Source organism: Homo sapiens, chromosome 7 (assembly GCF_000001405.40).
Source record: "Homo sapiens chromosome 7, GRCh38.p14 Primary Assembly".
Lineage (NCBI taxonomy): Eukaryota > Metazoa > Chordata > Mammalia > Primates > Hominidae > Homo > Homo sapiens.
Genome location: NC_000007.14, coordinates 74,087,376 through 74,113,513, shown reverse-complemented (window position 1 = coordinate 74,113,513; position 26,138 = coordinate 74,087,376). Strand labels below are relative to the sequence as shown.

The 26,138-nt window shown below is 53.6% G+C and overlaps 1 protein-coding gene across 2 annotated transcripts in view, besides 9 other annotated features; it reads right to left on the bottom strand.

Annotated features, from left to right (window-relative positions):
• The window catches only part of LIMK1 (LIM domain kinase 1), a 38,722-nt gene that overhangs the window by 9,012 nt on the left and 3,572 nt on the right, over positions 1-26,138 (bottom strand). Inside the window, exons 1-11 of one of the 2 annotated variants that reach the window (NM_001204426.2) lie at positions 20,215-20,297; positions 16,754-16,892; positions 16,325-16,434; positions 14,276-14,482; positions 7,534-7,639; positions 7,271-7,437; positions 6,321-6,504; positions 5,557-5,643; positions 4,478-4,609; positions 1,807-1,866; positions 1,516-1,581 (exon numbers count right to left, since the gene is read on the bottom strand). In NM_001204426.2, the coding sequence (NP_001191355.1) occupies positions 1,516-1,581; positions 1,807-1,866; positions 4,478-4,609; positions 5,557-5,643; positions 6,321-6,504; positions 7,271-7,437; positions 7,534-7,639; positions 14,276-14,482; positions 16,325-16,434; positions 16,754-16,892; positions 20,215-20,264 (1,308 nt within the window). In that variant the 5' untranslated portion in view covers positions 20,265-20,297. Of the gene's footprint in view, positions 1-1,515; positions 1,582-1,806; positions 1,867-4,477; positions 4,610-5,556; positions 5,644-6,320; positions 6,505-7,270; positions 7,438-7,533; positions 7,640-14,275; positions 14,483-16,324; positions 16,435-16,753; positions 16,893-20,214; positions 20,298-26,138 lie in introns of those variants that run through there. The other variant, NM_002314.4, reaches the window with a different exon arrangement.
• Positions 7,540-8,040: an enhancer, noted in NCBI's record as "H3K4me1 hESC enhancer chr7:73519804-73520304 (GRCh37/hg19 assembly coordinates)". NCBI's record gives its function as "activates a minimal SCP1, AML or CMV promoter by ChIP-STARR-seq in primed H9 embryonic stem cells {active_cell/tissue: H9 hESC(primed)}" and the evidence as "EXISTENCE:reporter gene assay evidence [ECO:0000049][PMID:30033119]".
• Positions 12,832-12,901: an enhancer, noted in NCBI's record as "active region_26139". NCBI's record gives its function as "activates an Ori minimal core promoter by ATAC-STARR-seq in GM12878 lymphoblastoid cells {active_cell/tissue: GM12878}" and the evidence as "EXISTENCE:reporter gene assay evidence [ECO:0000049][PMID:35858748]".
• Positions 18,559-19,099: an enhancer, noted in NCBI's record as "H3K27ac-H3K4me1 hESC enhancer chr7:73508745-73509285 (GRCh37/hg19 assembly coordinates)". NCBI's record gives its function as "activates a minimal SCP1, AML or CMV promoter by ChIP-STARR-seq in naive H9 embryonic stem cells {active_cell/tissue: H9 hESC(naive)}" and the evidence as "EXISTENCE:reporter gene assay evidence [ECO:0000049][PMID:30033119]".
• Positions 19,279-19,488: an enhancer, noted in NCBI's record as "active region_26138". NCBI's record gives its function as "activates an Ori minimal core promoter by ATAC-STARR-seq in GM12878 lymphoblastoid cells {active_cell/tissue: GM12878}" and the evidence as "EXISTENCE:reporter gene assay evidence [ECO:0000049][PMID:35858748]".
• Positions 20,149-20,258: an enhancer, noted in NCBI's record as "active region_26137". NCBI's record gives its function as "activates an Ori minimal core promoter by ATAC-STARR-seq in GM12878 lymphoblastoid cells {active_cell/tissue: GM12878}" and the evidence as "EXISTENCE:reporter gene assay evidence [ECO:0000049][PMID:35858748]".
• Positions 20,149-20,723: a biological region, named in NCBI's record as "H3K27ac-H3K4me1 hESC enhancer GRCh37_chr7:73507121-73507662".
• Positions 20,182-20,723: an enhancer, noted in NCBI's record as "H3K27ac-H3K4me1 hESC enhancer chr7:73507121-73507662 (GRCh37/hg19 assembly coordinates)". NCBI's record gives its function as "activates a minimal SCP1, AML or CMV promoter by ChIP-STARR-seq in naive H9 embryonic stem cells {active_cell/tissue: H9 hESC(naive)}" and the evidence as "EXISTENCE:reporter gene assay evidence [ECO:0000049][PMID:30033119]".
• Positions 22,379-22,879: an enhancer, noted in NCBI's record as "H3K4me1 hESC enhancer chr7:73504965-73505465 (GRCh37/hg19 assembly coordinates)". NCBI's record gives its function as "activates a minimal SCP1, AML or CMV promoter by ChIP-STARR-seq in naive H9 embryonic stem cells {active_cell/tissue: H9 hESC(naive)}" and the evidence as "EXISTENCE:reporter gene assay evidence [ECO:0000049][PMID:30033119]".
• Positions 22,880-23,380: an enhancer, noted in NCBI's record as "H3K4me1 hESC enhancer chr7:73504464-73504964 (GRCh37/hg19 assembly coordinates)". NCBI's record gives its function as "activates a minimal SCP1, AML or CMV promoter by ChIP-STARR-seq in naive H9 embryonic stem cells {active_cell/tissue: H9 hESC(naive)}" and the evidence as "EXISTENCE:reporter gene assay evidence [ECO:0000049][PMID:30033119]".

The following is a 26,138-nucleotide window of genomic DNA, read 5'->3' as shown; positions in this document are numbered from 1 at the left end:
AGCTGGGATTACAGGCATGCGCCACCATGCCTGCTAATTTTTGAATTTTTAGTAGAAACAGGGTTTTGCCATGTTGGCCAGGCTGGTCTTGAACTCCTGGCTTCAAGTGATCCACCCACTTCGGCCTCCCAAAGTGCTGGGATTACAGGCGTGAGCCACAGTGCCTGACCTTGTTTTGTTTTGTTTTTTTGAGACAGGGTCTGGCTCTGTCTCCCAGGCTGGAGTAGAGTAGCACAATCTTGGCTCACTGCAACCTCTACCTCCCAGGCTCAAGTGATCCTCCCACCTCAGCCTCCCAGGTAGTTGGGACCATAGGCTTATGCCACCACGGCTGGCTATTCCGTTTTGTATTTTTGGCAGAGATGGGCTTTCGTAATGTTGCCCAGGCTGGTCTCAAACTCCTGAGCTCAAGCAATCCACCTGCCTTGGCCTCCCAAATTGCTGGGATTTTAGGTGTGAGCCACTGTGCCCAGCACATTTCTGTTGTTTTGAGCCATCTGGTTCACAGTACTTCATGATGGCAGCCCCAGGACACGAATACACCACCTCTCCAGATGGGCATGGTTACTCGCTCCTGTGCTTTTGGTGGAGAACCGGGCTCTCCTCCCTTGACAATCCTTAGACACTGGGCTCTTTGCCTGCCCGTCCCCTGCTTAAATATCCACCTAAAGCCTCCTCTTTTTTTTTTTGAGATGGAGTCTCGCTCTGTCACCCAGGCTGGAGTGCGGTGGCGCGATCTTGGCTCACTGCAAGTTCCGCCTCCCGGGTTCACACCATTCTCCTGCTTCAGCCTCCCAAGTAGTTGGGACTACAGGCACCTGCCACCACGCCCGGCTAATTTTTTATATTTTTAGTAGAGATGGGGTTTCACCGTGTTAGCCATGTTGGCCAGGCTGGTCTTGAACTCCTGGCTTCAAGTGATCCACCCACCTCGGCCTCCCAAAGTGTTGGGATTGTAGGTGTGAGCCACAGTGCCCATGTTAGCCAGGACGGTCTCGATCTCCTGACCTCGTGATCCGCCTGCCTCGGCCTCCCAAAGTGCTGGGATTACAGGTGTGAGCCACTGTGTCTGGCCAAGCCTCCTCTTTCAGGAAGCCTGCCCTGACCACTCCAGCCCATACGCCTATGCCCCCACTCTGTGGCCCCCAGATGCTGGTGCTGTCTGGTGTAGCCCATGGCCACTCTGCCATGGGCTGTGCTCTATGAAGACCACGGTCCTGGTCCTTTGTAGCTTACATGTCACTTTCTCCTTCATTGATTTATGAGACCCTCCTACCAGCCTGGGACTCTGATGGTCCACCATGAGTCAGTGGCAGAGACAGGACTCAAACCCAGGTCTGTCTGCCTCCTGACCCTGCGCTCTTCCCCACGGGCTGCTGCCCCCCACCCCCACCTCAAATTGAAGTCATGGAGGCAACATGGAGGGGCCTCCAGTTCTGGGAAGGCCCTGAGGCTGGGGTTGGATGGGCTCCTGCTGTCTCCTGACACCCAGCCACGTGGGGCCCTGGTACTCACCTCGCGGACCAGGCAGTTGTGGGAGTTGAGGTCTCGGTGGATGATGTTCATGGAGTGGAGGTAGGCCTAGGGACGGGGACACGGGAGTCAGGGGGCAGCTGTGCAGAGGGACCCCAGCCCATCCTGGCTCCCCAGGAACTCCCTCTGCTCCCACCCCAATCAGGCCAGTCGGGACGATTCTTCCCACTCTCCCATCGACCCCCTCTGCCCTCTTTCAAAGCTTCTTTGTGGGTTCTGTTTGCAAATTCCTGGTGGGATTATGAATGGAGCTAGAGCACCCGGCTCACTCACCATCCCTGATGCGATGTCCTTGGCAAAGCTCACTCTCTGGCTCCATGGGTACTGGCTGTCCTGGGATGGAGAAAGAATGGCCAGGGTGGGGCCGGTGGGGGCCCCGATGGCAGGGATGGTTGCATGAGACAGAGGCAGGAAGAGGCAAGCGTCCTAGAGGGTCCCTGGGCTCCCCAACACCCCGATTTCTTCGGGCACCCACAACTGTCTGCTTCTAAGGAGTATGAGTCAACACAGCTCACAGACATTATTTCCTTTTTTTTTTTTCTTTAGATGGAGTCTCACTCTGTCACCCAGGGTGGAGTGCAGTGGTACCATCTCAGCTCCCTACAACCTTCGCCTCCGGGGCTCAAGTGATTCTTGTGTCTCAGCCTCCTGAGTAGCTGGGACTATGGGCATGCGCCACCACACCCAGCTAATTTTTTGTATTTTTAGTAGAGACGGGGTTTCACCATGTTGGTCAGGCTGGTCTTGAACTCCTTACCTCAGGTGATCTGCCCACCTTGGCCTCCCAGTGTTGGGATTACAGGCATGAGCCACTGCACCCGGCCTCAAGCAATTCTCTCGCCTCAGCCTCCCAAGTAGCTGGGATTACAGGTGTCCACCACCAAACCCAGCTAATTTTTGTAGTTTTAGTAGAGACAGGGTTTCACCATGTTGGCCAGGCTGTTCTCAAACTCCTAACCTCAAGTGATCCACCTGCCTCAGCCTCCCAAAGTGCTGGCATTACAGGCGTGAGCCACCGCACCCGGCCCCTACAAACATTATTTCCTAACAGAACTGATTTCAAACTCTAAGCAGGGATATTCCTCTATAGCTCCCAATCTGCCTCCTCTGAGAAAACAAGCTATATTTATTTTCTATAAAATCTCATCTTTCTGTCAGGTGTGGTGGCTCACGCCTGTAATCCCAACACTTTGGGAGGTCAGAGTGGTTGGATCACGAGGTCAGGAGTTTGAGACCAGCCTGACCAACATGGTGAAACCCTGTCTCTACTAAAAACGCAAAAATTAGCCGGGTGTGGTGGTGGGCTCCTGTAATCCCAGCTACTCGGGAGGCTGAGGCAGAATCGATTGAACCTGGGAGGTGGAGGTTGCAGTGAGCCGAGATCACGCCATTGCACTTCAGGCTGGACAATAAGAGCAAAACTCCATCTCGGGAAAAACAAAAACAAAAACAAAAAACTCATCTTTCTAGGTTTTTAAAAAATTAGAACCTACTTTCACAGACAGGTAAGAGGTAGAAGGGCCCAGCAAGGTCACCTGCGCAGTGGCAGCACTGAGCCATGCCAGGAGAACGGGGCTTTGGGCTCAAATCATTTGGGGGAGACGCCTCATTCTCAAACCTCATCCCCTTGGAGATCTTTATTTTTTATTGAGACAGGGTCTCACTCTATCACCCAGGCTGGAGTGCAGCCTCGACCTCCTGTGCTCAAGTGATCCTTCTGCCTCAGCCTCCTGTGGAGCTGGAACCACAGGCATGTGTCACCACATTTGGCTAATTTTTTAATTTTTTTTGTAGAGATGGGATTGGGATCTCATTATGTTGTCCAAGCTGGTCTTGACCTCCTGACCTCTAGTGACCCTCCTGCCTCGGCCTTCCAAAGTTTGGGAATTCAGGTGTGAGCCACTGCGCTTGGCCTAGCCCAGAGTTTCTAAATTGCACCTGACAACGGAACCCGTTGTGTCAAGTTACACCTAGCAGGAGCCCATAGGGTCCACACCTTGGATACAAGGTAATCCAACCTGAGGAAGATCCCATGGTCTCAGGGTGGTACAGAAATGGGGCTGGAGGCCAGGACTGGATCCCCAGGGTGTGGTCCAGCACAGGGCTCTGTGAGGCTTCCTCCAAGTGCTTTTTTTTTGAGAAGGAATCTCGCTGTCACCCAGGCTAGAGTGCAGTGGTGCGATCTTGGCTCACTGCAGGCTCTGCCCCCTGGGTTCAACGCCATTCTCCTGCTTCAGTCTCCCGAGTAGCTGGGACTACAGGCACCTGCCACCTTGCCCGGCTAATTTTTTGTATTTTTAGTAGAGACGGGTTACCAGGATGGTCTCGAACTCCTGACCTCAGGTGATCTGCCAACCTCAGTCTCCCAAAGTGCTGGGATTACAGGTGCCTGCCACCAGGCCCAGCTAATTTTTGTATTTTTAGTAGAGACGGGGTTTCACCATGTTGGCCAGGCTGGTCTTGGACTCCTGACCTCAGGTGATCTGCTGGCCTCAGCCTCTGAAAGTGCTGAGATTATAGGCATGAGCCACTGCACCTGGCCTGAGCACTTTATTTCTAAAGATGGATTTGTAATTTTATTCAAATCCTTAAGGAAAGCTCTGAATTTTATTTTAGTTTTTGAGACAGGGTCTTGCTGTGTGGTCCAGGCTGGAGTGCAGTGGTGAGATCACAGCTCACTGCAGCCTTGAATTCCTGGCCTCGAGTGATCCTCTTGCCTTGGGCTCCCAAAGTGCCAGAATAACAGGTGTGCACCATTGTACCTGGCCTTTCCTAGCTTTAGATGGAGTCAGTCGCTCCCCTTTTTGATTAGGAATCAGGGTTCAGAGGGCCTTTGAGACCCCTGTGGCTTCCCCCCATTGAAGAGATGAGACTGAGGCTCACAGAGGGAGCTGCTTTGCCCGGGGCCGCACAGCGGGGGTGGCTGGCTCTGCCCAGGACTCACCATGCTCTTGATGATGCCCCGGAGCGTGCCGCCCTTGATGTACTCAGTGATGAAGTTGAGCCTCTTGTCCTTGTAGAGCACCCCGATGAACTTGAGCACGTTGGGGTGTTCCAGGCATCGCATGACCTTCACCTGGCGGGGCACAAACAGGCTGGGCCCGGGCTCTGTGTGGTCCCAGCTGTGCTTGGGTCTGCTTCTCCCTTTTCCATCCCACCAGGGGCTGTAGGCGGTCTCAAAGATACGGAACCCCCAGCTCCCCTCTCCTGCCTCTGCCACACCCTCTGGCGTCCTGTGCCCTCTGCTTGAGCTGCCCCCACCCCCAGCGATGCTCTTTTTCCCAGTCCCCTGCCTGCAGTTACTTTCTTTTTTCTTTTCTTTTTTTTTTTTTTGAGAAGGAGTCTCACTCTGTCGCCCAGGCTGGAGGGCAGCGGCACGATCTTGGCTCACTGCAACCTCCGCCTCCTGAGTTCAAGAAATTCTCCTGCCTCAGCCTCCTGAGTAGCCTGGATGACAGGCACTCACCACCATCATGCTGGGCTAATTTTTGTATTTTTAGTAGAGACGGGGTTTTGCCATGTTGGCCAGGGTAGTCTCGAACTCCTGACCTCAGGTGATCCGCCCGGCTCAGCCTCCCAAAGTGCTGGGATTACAGGCGTGAGCCACTATGCCCGACCAATGCAGTTACTTTTATTTTTTTTGGACACAGGGTCTTGCCTTGTTCCCCAGGCTGGAGTGCAGTGGTGCGATCATGGCTCATTGCAGCCTCCAACTCCTGGGCTCAAGCGAGCCTCCCACCTCAGCCCCCCGAGTAGCTGGGATGACAGGTGCACATTGCCAAGCTCGGTTAATTTAAAATTTTTTTGTAGAGACGGGGTCTTGCTATGTTGCCCAGGTTGGTCTCAAAGTATCCTCTCTCCTTAACCTCCCAAAGTGTTGGGATTACAGGCGTGAGCCACTATGCCTGGCCTGCTCGCTCTTCTTTCAATGGTTCCCAGAGCCCTTTTCCGACCTGTGTTGATGGGGCAGGGGTGAGCACCTGGAAGTCCCTCTGGAGGGAAGAGGGCATTCCGCTCACTGACCTCCTTGAGGAACGTCCTCTGGGTCTCCTCGTCGAACCGGATCAGCTCCTTCATCACCATCACCTCACCTGTCTCACGGTGTGTCACCTGCGTGTGGGACACAGAGGTGTGAAGACAGAAGCTCTGCTGTAAGCCCGCCTTCTAGGAAGCCCCATCTCCACCCCAGGACTGCCAGGGAGATGTGCAGATGGCTTCATACTCTAGGCTGTGCATGGGATGTTCCCAAATACCCAAGTGGATGGGATGTATTAATCCCTTGTCTTTTTTTTTTTTTTTTTGAGATGGGGTCTTGCTCTATTGCCCAGGCTGGAGTGCTGTGGCATGATCATAGCTCACTGCAGCCTTGAACTCCTGGCTCACAATCCTCCTGCCTAAGCCTCCCAAGTAGCTGGGACCACAGGCATGCACCACTATACCCAATTAATTTTTAAATTTTTTGTAGAGATGATGTCAAGGCTGGTCTTGAATTCCTGGGCTCAAGCGATCCTACAGCCTTAGCCTCTCATGGTGCTGGGATTACAGGGATAAACTACTGTGCCTGGCTAGGAGCCACCTTTCAATGACCTCCCGCACATAAGGTCTCAGTCTACCTGTAGGAGGTCCCCTGTTCCTAATTAGCTCCAGGAGGCCAAGGGAGGAGAGGGCACTGGCCAGGGAGTCTGGAAGCCAGATACCCCTTCCACTGTGTTTCCATAGACTGGGAAGGAAGGAGGATGGAGGGGTCCCACCCAGACTGTCCCCTGAGACCCTGGCATGCTCTGTACCTTGATAGCCTGGCCGAAGCAGCCCTTGCCCAGCACCTCCCCGTGGATGAGGTCCGACGGCCGGAAGATGCGGTGTGGCCGGCAGACTACGCGGAGGGACTCAGAGCGACCCAGGTCCTTGCGCTGGGAGGCCGGGGAGCCCAGTGAGCCAGCGCCCGGAGACCTGTCGATGCTGCAGCTCCTCCTGGGGGGCACACATGGTGCCAAGTGCCACCGGGGGACAGGTAGCACCCGGCCAAGGCCCTGCCCCTTCCTCCTCCTGCCTGCATGCCCCTGTCCATGCCAGTCTATGCAATCACCCCCTGCTTTGGGAGGGCCCGCCTGGGACAGTCCAAAGGCTGCCCATCCCAGTGTCTCGGCCTATCCTGGCTCTAGTGGCAGCCCCCAGCTCCCCTCAACCCCTCAGATCCTGCTCTGTCATCCTCTTTTTTTTTGAGACAGAGTCTCACACTGTTGCCCAGGCTGGAGTATAGTGGCGTGACCTTGGCTCACTGCAACCTCCATCTCCTGGGTTCAAGTGATTCATCTGCCTCAGCCTCCTGAGTAGCTGGGACTACAGGCACCTGCCACCAAGCCCGGCTAATTTTTGTATTTTCAGTAAAGATGAGGTTTCCCATGTTGGCCAGGCTGGTCTTGAACTCCTGACCTCAGGTGATCCACCTGCCTCGGCCTCCCAAAGTGCTGGGATTACAGGCATGAGCCACCACGCCTGGCCCCGTCCCCGGCTTTTTAAAAAATGTGTGTTTCCTCTTTTTTTTTGAGAGTGGGTCTTGTTTTGTCACCCAAGCTGGAGAGCAGTGGTGTGATGACAGCTTACTGCAGCCTCCACCTCCCTGGCTCAAGCCTGGGCTGCATTTGTGCAGGGCTGGCTCCCCGACCTAGGTCCCACAGCCCCTGAGCCCCAGCAGGAGTGAAAGCACCCAGCTGAACCGAGGAGCAGGCTGACTTACAAGACAGGTTTCTGCCGGGCAGAGCTGCCCGCCTCCCCGCTGGGAGTATAAGCCGGAGAGCTCAGGGGGCTGGTCTCAGGCCCCAGCCCGTGGCCCAGTGTATCGTGAGGGTCATGCTCGAGGGTCAGCTGGAGCAGGCGGCTGGTTTCCTGAATCAGCAGGTCAATCTGGGGACAGCAGGCATGTGAATGGGGGTGGAGTGGGGAGGGGGCTAGGCATGAAGGCACTACCTCCCGTCCTGCCCCACAGACTCAGGACCGTACCTCGTCCAGGGGCACATTTCGGATGGGCGTGCCATTGATTTCCAAGATCCGGTCTCCGACGTGGATGGAATTCTTCACATCTGGGCTCATGCAGCCCGGATCCACTCTGTGGGTAAGGCAGGGGTCAGGCCAGTGCCCACCTGTCCCTCAGAGCCCCAACAGGAAACCAAGGCGAAGGGCACCAGATCCAGGGTGAGCAGGTGGAGGATTCTACTTCGTGTGACTGGGAAGTAGCAGATGGCCAGAACACCGAGTTCTGGTTTCAGGGGAGGAATTCTGTAATCAATTACTGATGTCTGCCACAGGTGTGAGCTGGAGAAAGGTGGCACGCTTGTAGGCACTGGCCACCCACACAAGATGCTCAGCTGTTCCCATTCAATGGACCATTGTCTCCACCCTGGGGGAACAGATCTATCCTTCCAAATCCCAGGTATGTTTGGTCTCGAATTTTTTTTTTTTTTTTTTTTGGAGACAGAATCTCACTCTGTTACCCAGGCTGGAGTGCAATGGCACAATCTCAGCTCACTGCAGCCTCTGCCTCCTGAGTTCAAGCGATTCTCGTACCTCAGCCTCCTGAGTAGCTGGGATTACAGGTGCACACCACCACACCCAGCTAATTTTTTTTGTATTTTTAGTAGAGACGGGGTTACACCACATTTCCCAGGCTGGTCTCGAACTCCTGAGCTCATGCAATCCGCCCGCCTTAGCCTCCCAAAGGGCTAGGACTGGCCGGGCGCAGTGGCTCACACCTGTAATCCCAACAGTTGGGGAGGCCAAGGTGGATGGATTACTTGAAGTCAGGAGTTTGAGACCAGCCTGGCCAACATGGTGAAACGCCGTCTCTACTGAAAATACAAAAATTAGCCGAGCGTGGCAGTGGGCGCCTGTAGTCCTAGCTACTTGGGAGGCTGAGGCAGGAATTGCTTGAACCTGGGAGGTGGAGGTTGCAGTGAGTCAAGATTCTGCCACTGCACTCCAGCCTGGGTGGACAGAGCGAGACTCCGTCGCAAAAACAAAGTGCTAGGATTACAGACATGAGTCATTGCACCTGGCCTGCCTGGTATGCTTGGGGCAGATGAGTGCCTTGGGTCCCAAAAAGGTCCCGGATTAGTGGCTTCATATCTGACTCCCAAACTCGCCCTGCAAGAGGAGGCCAAGCTCTATTGCTCCTGCATTGGCAGGAGGGAGCTGGCAGCTTGCCCTGAGCCACAATTGCAGGGTGAAGACGGGAAAGAGACCCTCGATCAGTTGCCTATAAGCTAACTCACAAAAAGACCAATTTGCCAAATTTACTTATTTCTTTTAACTCTTCGGTGTTAGGGACCTGGTTTTCTTTTCTTTTCTTTTTTTTTTTTGAGACAGAGTTTTGCTCTTGTTGCCCAGGCTGGAGTGCAATGGAGTGATCTCGGCTCATTGCAACTTCCGCCTCCCAGGTTCAAGTGATTCTCTTGCCTCAGGCTCCTGAGTAGCTGGGATTACAGGCATGTGCCACCATGCCTGGCTAATTTTGTATTTTTAGTACAGATGGGGTTTCTCTATGTTGGTCAGGCTGGTCTTGAACTCCTGACCTCAGGTAATCCACCCACCTTGGCCTCCCAAAGTGCTGGGATTATAGGCGTGAGCTGGTTTTCATTTTGCCTCATAAAAGCTTTTTAGGGAATGCTCACTTTGTCTCTGCCCTAGGTCCTGGAGATGGAAAAGGGGATGGGGGTAAGGCAGAGAGGAGACTGAGAACTTTAAGAAAAACAGGGCCAGGTGTGGTGGCTCATGCCTGGAATCCCAGCACTTTGGGAGGCCAAGGTGGGAGGATTGCTTGAGACTAGGGGTTTGAGACCAGCCTGGGCAGCATAGCAAGACCCCATCTCTATGACATTTTTTACAGAAAATTAGCTGAGCATGGTGGCACACTCCTGTAATCCCAGCTATTTGGGAGGCTGAGGTGGGAAGATCACTTGAGGTCAGGAGTTCGAGACCAGCCTGAGCAAAATAGTGAGACCTCACCATTACAAAAAATAAAAAATTAGCCAGGCATGGTGGTGCTGCCTGTAGTCCCAGCTACTCGAGAGGCTGAGGCAGGAGGATCGCTTGAGCCCATGAGGTCGAGGCTGCAGTGAGCTATGATCATGTCACTGCACTCCAGCCTGGGCAACAGAGTGAGACCCTATCTCAAAAAAACAACCAAGCAAACAAAAAGACTATTCTCGTATGGGGGAGAAGCTCTTCCTTACAGTAACAAATGCAGAAGGAAGAACAGAGTTAGAAATTCAGCATTTGGTAGCCACCCTAGTAATAATCGCTACAGGCAAGAATCATCAATAGATGCTCAAATCATTTGGGGAAGGGTTTTTGGGAACAGGATATTTACAGACTCAAATCTCACAAATGGTTTATTGATGACAAAGGGAAAAAAATCCTTACAGTACAGAAAAAACAAGTAATCAAAGTGAACATCCTCAGCAAAGGGCACACTGACATCATATGTCTCCTGGCAAGATCCACTCGGAAGGACAGAGGATCACTTATGCAGTATCAGGCCAAACCTGCAGAGCCTGTCTCCCTAAGAGGAAACATCAGTCAAACCCAAATGCGAGGGCAGGTACGATGGCTCACGCCTGTAATCCCAGCACTTTGGGAAGCTGAGGCGGGAGGATCACTTGAGCCTAGGAGTCTGAGACCAGCCTGGGCAACACAGTGAGACCCTGTCTCTTTTTAAAAAAAAAAAAAAAAAAAAGGAAAAACATTTTACTTTAATGACTGGCCTGTACACTTCAAAAATGTCAAGATCATGAAGGGCAATGAAAGGCTGAGGAAATGGCCAGACGCAGTGGCTCATGCCTGTAAACCCAGCATTTTGGGAGGCTGAGGTGGGTGGATCATTTGAGGTCAGGAGTTCAAGACCAGCCAGGGCAACATGGTAAAACCCCGTCTCTAATAAAAATACAAAAATTAGGCATGCATAATGGTGCACGCCTGTAATCTCAGCTACTTAGGAGGCTGAGGCAGGAGAATCACTTAAGCCCAAAGGCGGAGGTTGCAATAAGCCAAGATTGCGCCATTGCGCTCCAACCTGGGCAACAAGAGCAAAATTCCGTCTCAAAAAAAAAAAAAAAAAAGATACTGATGACACATGACGATTAAATGCAATGTTGATCATGGACTGGACTGTGGATGAGGGGGAGATTGCTATAAAGGACAGCTCAGTAGTTCAGTATAGAGACAATAGGCAAAATTTGAATATGGTCTGTGTATTAGATAATGGTATCAATGTTACATTTCCAAAATGTGATCACTGAACTATAAGATACAATTGATAATTACATAACAGAATGCCTAGCCAGGCGTGGTGGCCCGTGCCTGTAGTCCCAGCTACTTGGGAGGCAGAGGTGGGAGGATCACTTGAGCCTGGGAGGTTGAGGCTGCAGTGAGCTGTGATCGCATCACTGCACTCCAGCCTCAATGACAGTGATACCCTGTCTCCAAAAAAAAAAAAAAAAAAGAGAAGGTCCTTCTTTTGAGAATATCTAGCATAATTGTGGGGGAGTCAATGATCCCTGCAACTTACTCCCAAACGATCAATAAATAACAACATGTACATGTATGTACAAATATAAACAAGTCACTAAACATGTATATGTATCTGTATCCATATATGTATATATAGAGAGACACACATATAACTCCCAAATATGGCAGTTACGAATTGGTGAACCTTGGTGAAGGGTGTGTATGTATTCAATGGACTTATTATTTTAGCAAATTTTCTATAAATCTGCAAAATGCGAAGATGAAAAGTTGAAAAAAACCAAAGAAAATATTTTCATTGATACAGGCTTTGCATGCATATAACCTTAAAAATAAGCCAGGCATAGTGGCTCACGCTTGTAATCCTAGCACTTTGGGAAGCCAATGTGGGAGGATTGCTTGAGCCCAGGAGTTCAAGACTAGCCTGGGCGACACAGCAAGACTCAGTCTCTACAAAAAATTAAAAAATTAGCTGGGTGTGGTGGTGTGTGCCTGTAGTCTCACTACTCAGGAGGCCGAGGTGAGTGGATTGCTTGAGCACAGGCATCTGAGGCTATAGTGAGCTATGATTGTGCCACTGCACTCCAGCCTGTATGACAGAGCAAGACCCTGTCTCAAAAAAAAATTGTGTGTCTATATATATATATATATATATATGACATACATATGTAAATTCCTTAGAATCTCACATCCTCTCCCTTGGTTTGCTAAAGCAGCAGGTGGCCTGGATAAATTAGACCTTCCTTAAAACGCTGCTATACACAAAATGAAAAGCGGTCAACTAAAACCAGTTTAAAACAAATAAGTAAATCTTTGGCAAGTTGGGCTCTTTCTGGGAAGGGTGTGGCTCTTTGCAGAACTGGGATGTTCCAGATGTTGGCTGGGCGAATGCTTACCCAGTGAGGCAGACAGGGAGGAGACGTCATTAACTGTCTTCTTCATTTTTATTTTAGAGATAGGGTCTCGCTCTGTCGCCCAAGCTGGAATGCATGGTGTCATCATAGCTTGCTGCAGCCTCCACCTCCTGGGCTCAAGCAATCCTCTCACCTCAGCCCTCCGAAGTGGCTGAGATAACAGGCATGAGCCGCTGCACCCAGCTGACTGTCTTCATTTCTAAAATTCTGCCTGGATTTCAGGGACCAGCTGCAGCCTCTGACTCTGTGGGGACCTCCCTTGGCCCTCTGGTAAGAGCCGTTGGTCTGGGAGTTTCCTCATCTCTTTCAAGCAGCTGTCTGCTCATCATGTATGTAAAGCAGCTGCTGGCTTGGCTGATGTCAAGGGATGGAGACACACAGTCAAGCCCAGTATAATTTTCTGTCCCCAGGGCCACCTTCACATCTCAACAGTGCCTATGCAGTGCCAGGCACCTGCCAGGTGTACAAGAAACATTCACTGCGTCAAATGAAAGCTAGCACTTGGTAGGGCCGGGCGTGGTGGCTCATGCCTGTAATCGCAGCACTTTGGGAGGCCGAGACGGGCGGATCACGAGGTCAGGAGATCGAGACCATCCTGCCTAATATGGTGAAACCCTGTCTCTACTAAATATAAAAAAAAAATTAGCCGGGCATGGTGGCAGGTGCCTGTAGTCCCAGCTACTCGGGAGGCTGAGGCAGGAGAATGGCGTGAACCCAGGAGGCGGGGCTTGCAGTGAGCCGAGACCACACCACTGCACTCCAGCCTGGGCGACAGAGCGAGACTCCGTCTCGAAAAAAAAAAAAAGAGAGAGAGAAAGCTAGCACTTGGGCCGGGCACGGTGGCTCACACCTGTAATCCCGGCACTTTGGGAGGCCGAGAAGGGAGGATCACTTGAGCCCAGGAGTTTGAAACGAGCCTGGCCAACATGGTGAAACCCTGTCTTTACTAAAAATACAAAAATTAGCCACATGTGGTCACCTGTAGTCCCAGCTACTCAGGGGGCTGAGGTGCAAGAATTGCTTGAACCTTGTGGGTGGAGGTTGCAGTGAGCTGGTATCACACCACTGCACCCCAGACTGGGCGACAGAGTGAGACTGTCTCAAAAAAAAAGAAGTGACCAATTGCCCAAAAGTAGAAACACTGCATGCTACTTCTCAAGGTGTCAATAAAGGCGCCACAGAAATCTTAGAAAGCTCCAAGGTATCCAACTCCCTCATTGTTCAAACAGACCCCCAAAGCCTAGAGAGAAAGCAGCTGCTCAAAGTCACACAGTAATCTAATCTTTATCAGCCCTGCCCCATTTTTTTGAGACAGGGTTTTGCTCCATTGCCCAGCCTAGAGTGCAGTCGTGCAATTATAGCTCACTGTAGCCACTTCCTGGGCTCAAGAGATCCTTCTGCCTCAGCCTCCCAAGTAGCTGTGACTACAATGTTTCCCAGGCTGGTTTCGAACTCCTGGCCTCAAGTGATCCTCCCATCTCAGCCTCCCAAAGTGTTTCGATTATAAGTGTGAGCAACCATGCCCAGCCTTTATGTGTTCAGTGATTTCACCATGCCTGGCTAATTTTTAATTTTTTTTTTTTTTTTGTAGACATGCAGGTCTCGCTATGTTGCCCAAGCTGGTCTCAAACTTCTGGCCTTAAGTGATCCTCTCACTTTGGCCTCCCAAAGTGCTGAGATTACAGGTGTGAGTTACTGCGCCCAGCTTCTTCACTCATTCTTGACTTGGTTCCTCCTCTTTCTTGTTGGATCAGACATGGACTAAAGAAAATGTCTTTTTATTTTTTGAGTGTGTTTTTTTTATTTTTATTTTTTTGATACAGAGTTACACTCTTGTTGCCCAGCCTGGAGTGCAATGGCAGTCGGGGCTCACTGAAACCTCCACCTCCTGGGTTCAAGTGATTCTCCTGCCTCAGCCTCCCAAGCAGCTGGCACTATAGGCACACACTACCATGCCTGGCTACGTTTGTATTTTTAGTAGAGACGGGGTTTCACCACATTGCCCAGGCTGGTCTCGAACTCCTGACCTCAGGTGATCCACCCACTTCGGCCTCCCGAAGTGCTGAGATTACAGGTGTGGGCCACCATGCCCGGTTGAAAATGTCTTTTTATTGTATCTGGCATTTGTAATGGTATTCAGAGGAATGACTGGGCCAGAAATCTGGCAAACCAGGTTGTCAGAACTGGGCCCCATCTGTACCCAAACACTCGCCCATTCATTTTCAGGGCCCCCAGTGCCAGACTCTGCCACCCACATCAACAGCCATAGCCACACCGACGGCAGCCTCGGCAGGCCGGCCACTCACCCCTGGACGCGGACGGTGTGTGAGTGCTCGGTGCCACAGCCCGGTGGGCCGTGCGGGGGGTCAATGGAGACTGAAAGTCCACGCTTGCCATGAGATGAGGCTGGGATGGACACCAGGGTGACGGTGTGGGGCAGGTGGGAGCCAGGGGAGTCAGGCAGGATCTGCTCGATGACGGGGGTCACCACAGTCTGGTAGTAGCAGTGCCCGCTGCAAGAGCCGCCGGGGTGGGAAGAAAAGAGTGTCAAGGGCGTCATCAATTTCAGCATCTCTGCAGCCCCCAGCCCCAGGCTCTTCCCCCAATCCCTTCCTTTTTTTTTTTTTTTTTTGAGATGGAGTCTCACTCTGTTGATTACAACACTGCACCCCAGCCTGGGTGACAAAGCAAGACTCTGTCTCAAAAGAAAAGGAAAGCTAGCAATTGTCCAAAAGTGCAGTGGTGTGATCTTGGCTCACTGTAACCTCCGCCTCCTGGGTTCAAGCGATTCTCCTGCCTCAGCCTCCTGAGTAGCTGGGATTACGGGCACGCACCACCATGCCTGGCTAATTTCTTATTTTTAGTAGAGACGGTTTCACCATGTTGGCCAGGCTGGCCTCAAACTCCAGACCTCAGGTGATCTGCCTGCCTTGGCCTCCCAAAGTGCTGGGATTATAGGGGTGAGCCACTGCACCTGGCCAGCTTTCTTTTCTTTCACTCTTCCTATGGAACTGGGAGCAGGAACTGTGCGTGCCCAGCCAGCCCTCGTCCCTCTGAGTCATTCGGGTCTGTCTACTCGCTGTGATCCTGTAAGGCGGCCAGGACAAGGCCTGAGGATAAATCCAGTTCAGGAGGAAGTCATTAAAAGCCCATCTGGGATCAAGCCACGTTGTCCTCTAATCCAGCTTGATCAGTGTTGTATAAGAAAGAATCTGTCTGGGTTTTGTCCTGATTCCTGGGAGGGAGACTCTAAGTCCTTGGAATGGGGTATCTTTGTTATTCATGAGCCCCTCAGACTATTCCTGAGTTGATACTAATGAGATGACTCAGCCCCGCAAAGATACATCATGTGATTTGAAGAGGGTTGCAGCTTTCATCCAGCCTGACCTCCAAGAACGGGGGCTAGAGACTAAGCTTGATCATACGGCCAATGACTCAATCAGTCATGACGATGTAATGAAATCCCAATAAAAACTCTGGCTGCTGAAGCTCAGTGAAGCTTCCTGGTTGGTGATCACATTGATGTGCTAGGGGAGGGAGGGGAGATGCTTCTTCATTTGGTCGGACCTGAGCTGTGTCCTTCATAATAAAACTGGGATAAAAATGGAGGATTTCCTGAGTTCTGTGAGTCTGTTAGCAAACGATCAAACTTGGCAGGGTCTTGGGAGTCCCTGAATTTGTAGCCAGTCGGTCAGAAGTGTGAGTGGGTTGGGGACCCCTGAACTTGTGGCTGGTGTCTAAAGAGGGAGCAGTTATGCTGGGGATGGTGTCCTTAACTTGTGGCATCCACCCCACCTCTGGTGGTTTGTGCCAGCACCATGCTGCAGTCATGGCCAGTAAGAAAGCTGACGTCTGAGGTTTTCTGTTTTGAGACAGAGTCTTGCTCTGTTGCCTAGGCTGGAGGGCAGTGGTGCAATCTTGGCTCACTGCAACTTCCACCTCCCAGGTTCAAGAGAGTCTCCTGCCTCAGCCTCCTGAGTAGCTGGGATTACAGGCACCCGCCACCACACCTGGTTAATTTTTGTATTTTTAATAGAGATGGGGTTCCACCATGTTGGCCAGGCTGGTCTTGAACTCCTAGCCTCAAGGGATCCACCCACCTCGGAATCCCAAAGTGCTGGGTTTACAGGCGTGAGCCAGCATGCCTGGCCGTCTGAGGCTTTTTCACACTGACTTCTGTGTGTTATTTCTCACTTGTTTCCATGCCGGGATGGGAAAGGAGATATGAACATTTGCCCCAACAAACCTCACCCCATGGGAAAGGGCAGGAGGCCCGGGTGTGGGAGAGTCAGCACCCTTGCAGATCTGTGACACAGGTGGGCCTCCTAGGCTCAGGGAGGGGCCAAGGCACTCACCAGTACAGCTTGGAGTGCTCCACCAGCGTGTAGGTGTCCCCGTCACCGATAAAGGTCCCACACGTGAGGCAGATGAAACACTCGGGGTGGTACTTCAGCTCCCCAGCCACCTGGTGCGGGGGTGAGGAGGGAACAGCCCAGCTCAGCAGACCCAACAACCCCCACAGATCCTCCCCTAGGCCTCTTCCAAGGGTGTCACCAAAAAAACAACTGCAGGGACCCGGCTGGCCAGCTGCTGAGCTCCTGGACAGAGCTGGCTCCATAGATGGGGGCGCTGAGGGATACAGACAGACAGTCAGGCTCAGAAAGCAGCTCCAAAGACCAGCAAAAAGGAGACCAGGAGAGACAATGATGGGAGAGAGACCTGGAGCATGGGGTCTGCTTGGATACCCCCACCCCAGGTGAGTGTGCAAGGCAGGGGGCGCTCACCATAACCAGTCCCTTGGTGATTTGCTCAGAGCACCCATGGCAGGACTCGCCATAGCGGGCCCAGTAGTCCTTCTTGCAGAAGAGCTGCCCATCCTTCTCATAGTACTGGTGCGACAGGGAGGCACTGCAGTCACAACACCTGCAGGAGAGGGGCCGGGCTGAGACGTCCACTCCCGCCCTCCTCCACCTCACCTGGGCCCCTGCCTCGGCTACAGGCACCTTTGTAAGAATTAGAACAAGTTTTCTTTTTGTTTGTTTTTTGAGACGGAGTCTTGCTCTGTCGCCAGGCTGCAGTGCAGTGGCTCGATCTCGGCTCACTGCAACCTCTGCCTTCCAGGTTCAAGTGATCCTCCTGCCTCAGCCTCCTGAGTAGCTGGGACTACAGGCACACACCACCATGCCCAGCTAATTTTTTGTATTTTTAGTAGAGATGGGGTTTCACCATCTTGGCCAGGATGGTCTTGAGCTCTTGACCTCGTGATCCGCCCACCTCGGCCTCCCAAAGCGGTGGCTCACACCTGTAATCCCAGCACTTTGGGAGGCCGAGGTGGGCAGATCACTTGGGGTCAGGAGTCTGAGACCAGCCTGGCCAACATGGCAAAACCCAGTCTCCACTAAAAATACAAAAACTAGCCAGGCATGGTGGTGGGCACCTGTAATCCCAGCTACTCGGGAGGCTGAGGCAGAAGAATCGCTTGAACCTGGGAGGCAGAGGTTGCAGTGAGCCAAAATTGTGCCACTGCACTCCAGCCTGGCGACAGAGTGAGACTCTGTCTCCAAAAAAAAAAAAAAGAAAAAGAAAAATAGAGGAGAATCCCCAGGTGTGCAGGGTCATCAAAGCCACGGTTCGCCTGTTTCCTCACTAGAGGCTACCAAGGAGGCCTGGTTGGTGGGGCCTTGAAGGGCAGATGGGGAGGAATGCCAGGCTGTAGGTGCCACAACACAGGCCAGGGTTAGACCTACATTCCCGGCTTTTTCCCAGCCAAGCATCCCGGTGGGGTGGGGACCAGCAGCCCTGCCCAGCCAGGATGAACAAATATAGAAATGTCAGTCTGGGATGGGCATGGTGGCTCATGCCTGTAATCTCAGCACTTCAGGAGGCGAAGGTGGGAGGATCACTTGAGGCCAGAGGTTTGAGGCCAGCCTGGGCAACACAGTAAGACCCCATCTCTTAAAAAATTATTAAAAAATTAGCCAGGATACAGTGGGTCCTGTACTCCCAGCTACTAGGGAGGCTGGGGAGGGAGGATCGCTTGAGCCCAGGAGTTGAAGGCTGCAGTGTGCTATGATTACACCACTGCACTCCAGCTGGGTGACACAGCAAGACCCTCTCTCTAAAAAATAAAATAAACCAAATGCGGGTGCCCCAGTGAACCCGCAGGCACACATGTGCCCCCCTGGGTCCTGCTGTGGGGGGGCATGTCTGGGTCAGGGTACAGACCCACACAGAGAACAGGCTAGGGGGTCCGTCCCGCTCTGCCACTGTTTGGGTGCTATGTGTCGGTCACACAGGGACAGAAGAACCAGGCTCCAAAGGGCCACAATCTAGGAGAGAGGCAGGTAGGAAAGACTGGGACCTGGATGAGATGAGGGACCTTAAGGGCTGTTTCCTACCCAGGAAACTCTCCACAGCCTGGGGCCTGCATGGGTATCACTCATGGGCTGTCTGCTAATGCTAATTAACTGTAACTAGGGAACTGGGGTTGAGGAGGGGAGTTCAGCAGTAAGCTGGTGGGACACTGTCCCTTTAAGAGGATCCAGCCACTTCCCCTTTGTCTGGGAGCCTAGGGGAAGGGGTGGGAGTAAAGGGGGAGCAGAAAATGCCAGGGTTTGGAAGCATGTGGGTGAGGGGTGCATCCAGGAAGGGAGGCCTGGTGCATTCCTCCATGGGGGTGGGGAATGCGGAGGCTGGGCCACCGGAGGTGGTGGCGGTGGCAGGGGCGGCAGGAGACGCCACGTCAGGGTCACTGCCCCACTCGGTGCACAGCAGGGGGCCGGCAGTTCACCGGATCACCGCGGGGGTGGGGCGGAGGACGGAAGTTGGTGAGGGGGGTGGTCTACAGGGCACCTCCCGTCCCAGGGCTCTAACCTAATTCGAAAGGGAAAGGAGTGCTGCAGCCGGGAGGCCAGGCCGACTTTGGGTCCTGCCCTCGCAGAAGCCCCCACGCCTGGTGCAGACCAATGACTCGCTTCCTGCCCTTACACCGATCACACATGACCTCGGTCACAGGGGTGCCACATCACAGGAGTGCCCCTCACTCCTGCCTGCAGGAAGCAGGGCCCCCGCATACCTCTGCAGTGGGCGGTGGGTGGGTGGGGGATTAGGAATTGCTGTAACCAAGTGTCCCCATCCCGGGGAGGGAACGCTCTTCCACAACCTGGAAACTGCTACTGGTCCATTCACTCGCTCACGCAGAAACTCACAAACCTTCATCACTGTTGCTCACTTTCAGCAGCTGTGAAAGACCCGGCGGTGATGACTCACCCGAGGGTTTGAGTGCACTTGGCTTCCCTCCGGTCACCACTTCCTTGATGCCTGTTCTACCAGACACTAGGTCTGCCCACCAGTGTCTGCCACTGACCTGCCAGCTCCCCGCGGCCCCAGGCTGGGCATCCACAAAGCTTGGCCCAGGAGAGAGCATAAGTGATTCCTGCCGGCGAGGCCCCCGCTGTGCACCCAGCATCCTCAGAACTGCCCCGAGACCCCGTCTCTGCCTCCATTGCAGACAGGGCACCCAGGCCTGGCCCAGGCTGACTTGGTGGCTCAGTGGCTGGGGCTCGGGGCCTCAGTGAACCTTTGCGGATGGAGAGCACGCCGGAGTTCCTGTCCCTGCCCCTGCCCCGCCCCTCACCCCTCAGGCCTGCATTCTGGCAGGAGCTAGAGGCTGACGGGCCTGGCTCTCTTGAGTGCCCCACACAGAGTGCCTGACTGTCCCTAAGAAGGATGTCAAGGGAGGTGCGCCAGGTACTGAGGCTGTGCAGAGCTGCCCTGGGGACAGCCAGAGAGGAACTCCCTCGGGGGAGAGCCATGCCCTGGCCCCACTCCAGGGTACCCCTCCCTGAGAGCAGGGTAGGACAAAGCCAGGCTGGGGCAGGAGAAGGGGGAGGCACCCGGAGGGCATGAAAGGGGTGCTCTGCAGCCCAGGTGGCTGGCTGGGCTGGGAGACAGCGGTGGCTTCCATAATGACAGGAGTGGAGAATCATCGTTCTACCCAGGGCCACATCCCTGGCCACCAGGTGTGAAGAAACAGCAGGTGGAGGACCGGCCTCATGGGGAGACTGTCCTGGAAGGACCCACAGCTTTGGCAGTGGCCTGCTCCCAGGCTGCAGCCGACAGTAACCAAGGAGTTTCAGTTCTGCCCCAGAGCCTGGACCTAGGTGGGTCGGCTTCCAGCCCCAGGCCTTACACCAGGGGCCCTGCCTGGAGCCCAGGACAAGTAGGGAGGGGGATTCCCACTTACTTAGCCCTCTGGAGGAAGCGGCGTCTTCTTGGGGCTGAAGCCAACAGCATCCTCTGTGGCTACACTGGGGGCTCTGGAGGTCTAAGGGAGGGCAGGGGTGGCCAGACCAGCTGCTTCCCCATCCTCCCTCAGGGGCTCAGGATTGGAGGCTGCAGAGGGTGGGGCCAGCGTGGCTGCAGCGCACAGGAGGAGGCTGCAGCCGCGTGGGTGCCAGGGGACTTGGTCTGAGCCTGCAACAGGAAGTGGCTGAAGCACCCTTTGCCTGGGCTTTGGTGCGGGTGGGGAGCGAGCGATCTAGGCTTGGACCCCAGGCAGGGAGCCTGTGGCCCGTCCCTGGCCCTCAGTCCTGAACACACGCTGTAGGCTCCTCAGCCTCGGCCCTGGCAACGGCACTGAAGGCCTCAGGCTTCTCTGGGGACAGGGACAAGCTCAAAAGCAGCTGCCTCTTCCACTGCTGCCCCCAAGGGAACAGAGGTCGACTTCCTATGGACAGTTTGTCTTCGCCAAAAAGGTCCCCTGAAGAAAGGGAGGTTGCATCCCGCCGCTGCTCCAACCCCACAGGCCAGCAGCATGCTCAGCCCTCCTTGCCCAGGGCCAGCCCACCCAGCTGCCAAGGAGATGCTACCAGGGATGCGGCAGCCCTGGGGGTTGTGCACAGGAGGCTTCCTGGAGGGGACCTCGCAGAGGCAGTATGTGAGCCAAAGGGAAGCCTGGACCAGTCCAAGCCTGGTCATAACCTTCCGGGAGGCAGGGCCTGCAAGGGGCTGGGAGGTCAGAACACAGAAAGGGGCAGGCCCCGGAGTGACAACCCTCAGGGCTAATACCAGAGGTCCCATGGGCCTGCAGCAATTGTCCCACTCTACAAAGAGGGGCAGCATCTGGTCCCGGCTGAGCCCTCCAGCAGCCTGCAGGCCCCCATCACAGCACTTATGACCCTGTCTGTCCTATCAGCGTGGGACTTCCTCAAGAGCAGGGGCCAGGGGACAGGAGCAGCTCTCAGATGCTCAGGTTATGACATTCAAAGATGCACAGCTGCCTGTGCGCAGTGGCTCATGCCTGTAACCCCAGCACTTTGGGAGGCTGAGGTAGACAGATCGCTTGAGGTCAGGAGTTTGAGGCCAGCCTGGCTAACATGGTGAAACCCCGTCTCTATTAAAAACACAAAAATTAGCCAGGTGTGGTGGTGGGCGCCTGTAGTCCCAGCTACCAGGAAGCTGAGGCAGGAGAATCGCTTGAACCCGGGAGGCGGAGGTTGCAGTGAGCTGAGATCACGCCACTGCACTCCAGCCTGGGCAACAAAAGCGAGACTCTGTCTCAAAAAAAAAAAAAAAAAAAAAAAAAAAAAGCTGTACAGCCAACGGCACCTTCCACGGGGCCCACAAGGCTCTATGCACCCCTGGCCACTGACTGCACTCCCGCACGCTGGCTTTGTGGTCCTCAGTTGTGCCAAGCACATTCCCACCCCAAGGCCTTTGCACATGCACCGGCCCTACCCCCGACATCCTCTAAACACTGCTCCCTTCAATTCTGTCCCTTAAACATCACTTCCTGAGAGTGCTGTCCCCCAATACCTGACACTACATTTGTTCACTGAGTGTCTTGCCCACTAGAAGGCAGGGACCCTGTTGGTCTGGGAGGTGTGGGACTAAGCTGTGGTTACACTGTAGGCTCTGAAGCCAGGCTGCCTCGGTTCGAGTCCTGATTCTACTCCTCACGCGCTGTGAGACTTTTGGCAAGTGACTGAACTCTGCACCTCATTTGTAAAATCGCTTTTTAAAAATTTGAGACAGTGTCTCGCTCTGTTGCCCAGGCCAGAGTGCAGTGGCGTGATCACAGCTCACTGCAGCTTCGACATCCTGGGTTCAAATGATCCTCCCATCTCAGCCTCCTGAGTAGCTGGGACTACAGGTACGCACCACCACGCCTGGCTAATTTTTTTGTAGAGATGGAGTCTCACTATGTTGCCTAGGTTGATCTCAAACTCCTGGCCTCAAGCAGTCCTCCTGCCTCAGCCTCCCAAAGTGCTGGGATTACAGGCGTGAGTTACCAGCCTTGGCCTTAAAATCGCTTTAATATTGCCGGGCACGGTGGCTCACGCCTGTAATCCCAGCACTTTGGGAGGCTGAGGTGGGCGGATCACGAGGTCAGGAGATCGAGACCATCCTGGCTCACACAGCGAAACCTCGTCTGTACTAAAAATACAAACAAACAAAAAAAAATTAGCCGGGTGTGGTGGTGGGCGCCTGTAGTCCCAGCTACTTGGGAGGCTGAGGCAGGAGAATGGTGTGAACCCGGGAGGCAGAGCTTGCAGTAAGCCGAGATTGCGCCACCGCACTCCAGCCTGGGCGACAGAGCGAGACTCAAAAAAAAAATCGCTTTAATAAATAAATAGCACCCCCTTACTGGGTTGTTGTGAGAGGGGCCTAATGCAGAGTGGGCACGCCATAATTATTTGCAAGTGACTGACTCAGGGACCCTAGGAAGTTCCACTGGGAGGGGCATGCAGAGGGGCCAGGAAAGTGGAAATCACTGGCCACCTCCCCAGTGGGGCTGGAGGCTGCAGACCCCTCATGGCCTTATCACATTGCCCCTGCCCGAACACCTTCAGAGGGGTGAGGGGCCCTGGAACAAAGGTCTCAGTGCATGAAATGAGGTCTGGGCCGGGCCCAATGCCTCAAGCCCAGGGCCCGAGGGAGACTAAGCAGAGTCTAGCACCTTGGGCATCCCACTGAGAGCCAGCCTGGCTGTGGTCAGCCATGCACCCAGGTGAGCAGTGACCCCCTCTGAGCTGCTCTGCTCACTGTCACGCGGTGAGGACCACCAGCTTTGGGGACTGTTGGGAGTATCACACCCACAAGCCACGAGGTAGAAGCCATGGCTCTTACTTCTAGTGGATCTTTCCCCATATTGAGACTTTTTTTTTTCGAGATGGAGTCTTGCTCTGTCACCCAGGCTAGAGTGCAGTGGCGCGATCTTGACTCACTGCAATCACTGCCTCTCGGGTTCAAGCGATTCTTCTGCCTCAGCCTCCTGAGTAGCTGGGATTACAGGCGCCCACCAACAGGCCCGGCTAATTTTTGTATTTTTAGTAGAGATGGGGTTTCACCATGTTGGCCAGACTGGTCTCAAACTCCCGACCTCAGGTGATCTGCCTGCCTTGGCCTCCCAAAGTGCTGGGATTACAGGCGTGAGCCACTGCACCTGGCTTCCTTCTTGAGTTTCACTACACCAGGGACAGCACAAACATGCCTCCTCTTTACTGCCCTGACCTGGGGACTCACCCCTCTCCTGGTGAGTGATTTGGGACAGGCCACTCCAAAGCCAGGTACACCCATCCTGTAACACGGCTTCCCTCCTGTGGCTTCTGTGGCTCTACTCCTGACCCTCTCTCCATCACCCAAGGCTCCATCTCCCCCCTCACCGCAGACACAGGGGTCCCCAAAGTTCTTCCCTTCATTCGTCTTGGCCCTATCACAAATCCCACTCACCATCTCAGGGCCAGCTCCGAGGCGGCCGTTTTTTCTGACTTTCCTACCTCCAACTGGACTCAGGCTCCCATGGCTAGCTCTGGGCAGGACACAGCCACCATGGATAGCCCATGTCCCCTCCAGCTCAACACAGATGAGCATGTCTCCTCCCCAACATGACCCCCAATTCCATCAGAGTCAACAAACCACCAACTCCCCAGTGCCCAGGTTAGAAAACCAGATGGCTTCAGGTTCCACCCTGCCATTCGCCAGTGCCCATGCCCTCCCCGAAGCCCCTGTCTTTTTCTTTCTTCCTTTCTTTCTTTTTTTTGAGATGGGATTTCACTCTGTCACCCAGGCTGGCTTGCAGTGGTGTGATCATAGCTCACTGCAACCTCCACCTCCCAGGCTCAAGCAACCCTCCCATGTCAGCGCCCTTGAGTAGCTGGGACTACAGGCACCACCACCATGCTCAGCTAATTTTTTTGTAGAGACAAGGTTTCACTATGTTGCCCACACTGGTCTCAAACTCCTGGGCTCAAGAGATCCACCTGCCTCCGCCTCCCAAAGGGCTGGGATTATAGGCATGTGCCACCGCCAGCCCCTGCCTTTCCTACTCTGTGGCGATGTGGAGTGAGAAGGTTTTAGTCCCAGCTCTAGATGTTACAACCTTCAGCGAGGCACTTGATTGCATGGAATCTCTGTTTCTCCCATGCAAACTGGGCACATACAGTCCCTCATAGAGTTATGATGAAGATTTAACAAATTAGCATGAAGAGTGCTCAATGCATGGTAGCCAATATGACAAATACTCACCAAAAACTGTCCCTTCTGCCTGAAATTCTCTCCATCCTCAGTCACTGTCCCAGGTCAGGTCCTATGAGCTCAGACCCTTGAGTTACTGGGACAGTCCCTTCCCTGCCTAGATACCACCACCGGCCCACTGGGATGGCATTCTTCAACAGCATGTCACCCCAGCCCCTCCCTGGCTTTCTGCCGACTCCCTTCTATTTTTTTTTTTTTTTTTTTTTGAGATGGAGTCTCGCTCTGTCTCCCAGGCTGGAGTGCAGTGACGTGATCTCAGCTCACTGCAGCCTCCGCCTCCCAGGTTCAAGTGATTCTCCTTCCTTAGCCTCCCGAGTAGCTTGGATTACAGTCATGTGCCACCATGCCTGGCTAATTTTTGAATATTTAGTAGAGACGGGGGTTTCACCACGTTGGCCAGGCTGGTCTCAAGCTCCTGGGGTCAAGTGATCTGCCTGCCTCGGCCTCCCAAAGTGCTGGGATTACGGGGATGAGCCACCACCCCCATCCTGACTTCTGAAACTCCTTATCTTGGCATTCAAGGCCCTTCACGAATCGGTCTCAACTTTGTTTCTTGTTGGATCCCTCAGCTTATTCTGTTCCTTCCAAGGGAACTGTTCCTGTTCCCTCAGCAGTCCGCACCATCCCACCGCTGTGCAGATGGTTTCCTCTGCCTGTTGAGAGCCCTCTTGCCCCCCGAAGGCCTCTTTCTGAGCACCTGATGCAGAATCCCAGGGCATGCTGTCTGTCTCCTTTCAGCCACACTGAGTGTGTTCATTTCACTCACTGGCTGTGTGACTTTCATCAAGAGAATTAACCTCTCTGTGTCCCAATTTTCTCTCTGGCAAAACAAAGACAGCACTAATATCTAACTATGCAAAGTACTTAGAACAGGGGTTGTCCCTTACTGAATGTTAGAAAACGTTAGACGTTATTCCTAAAAAAGAAAAAACAGGCTGGGCATGGTGGCTTATGCTTGTAATCCCAGCACTTTGGGAGGCTGAGTCAGAAGGATCGCTTGAACCAGTTGGAGCTGGAGGCTACAGTGGGCTATGATCTCACCACTGCACGCCAGCCTGGGTGACACAGCAAGACCCTGTGTAAAAAAAAAGAAAAGAAGAAACAAAAAAACAAACCGAGGCCAGGTGCAGTGGCTCATGCCTGTAATTCCAGCATTTTGGGAGGCTGAGGCGGGCAGATCACTTGAGGTCAGGAGTTCGAGACCAGCCTGGCCAACATGGCAAAACCCTATCTCTACTGAAAATACAAAACTTAGCCGGGCGTGGTGGTGCACACCTGTAATCCCAGCTACTTGGGAGGCTGAAGCAGGAGAATCGCTTGAACCTGGGAGGCGGAGGTTGCAGTGAGGAGGGATCGCGCCACTGCTCCCCAGCCTGGGCGACACAACAAGACTGTCTCAAAAAAACCAAAAACCAAAAAATAAACCAAGGCAGAAGCCTAAAATAAAGTCCTAGTGGTGGATGTCTTGACCCCTGCTGGGCATCCCAGAAGCTTCACCTTCTACCCTTTTATGGAGTTTTCTCCCCTGAACCTTGCTGTTTGGTGACTATGCCTGTAATTCTCTCCCACACCATTTGTTTTTCTTTCTTTCTTTTTTAAAAATTGAGACTGGGTCTCGCTCTATTGCCCAGG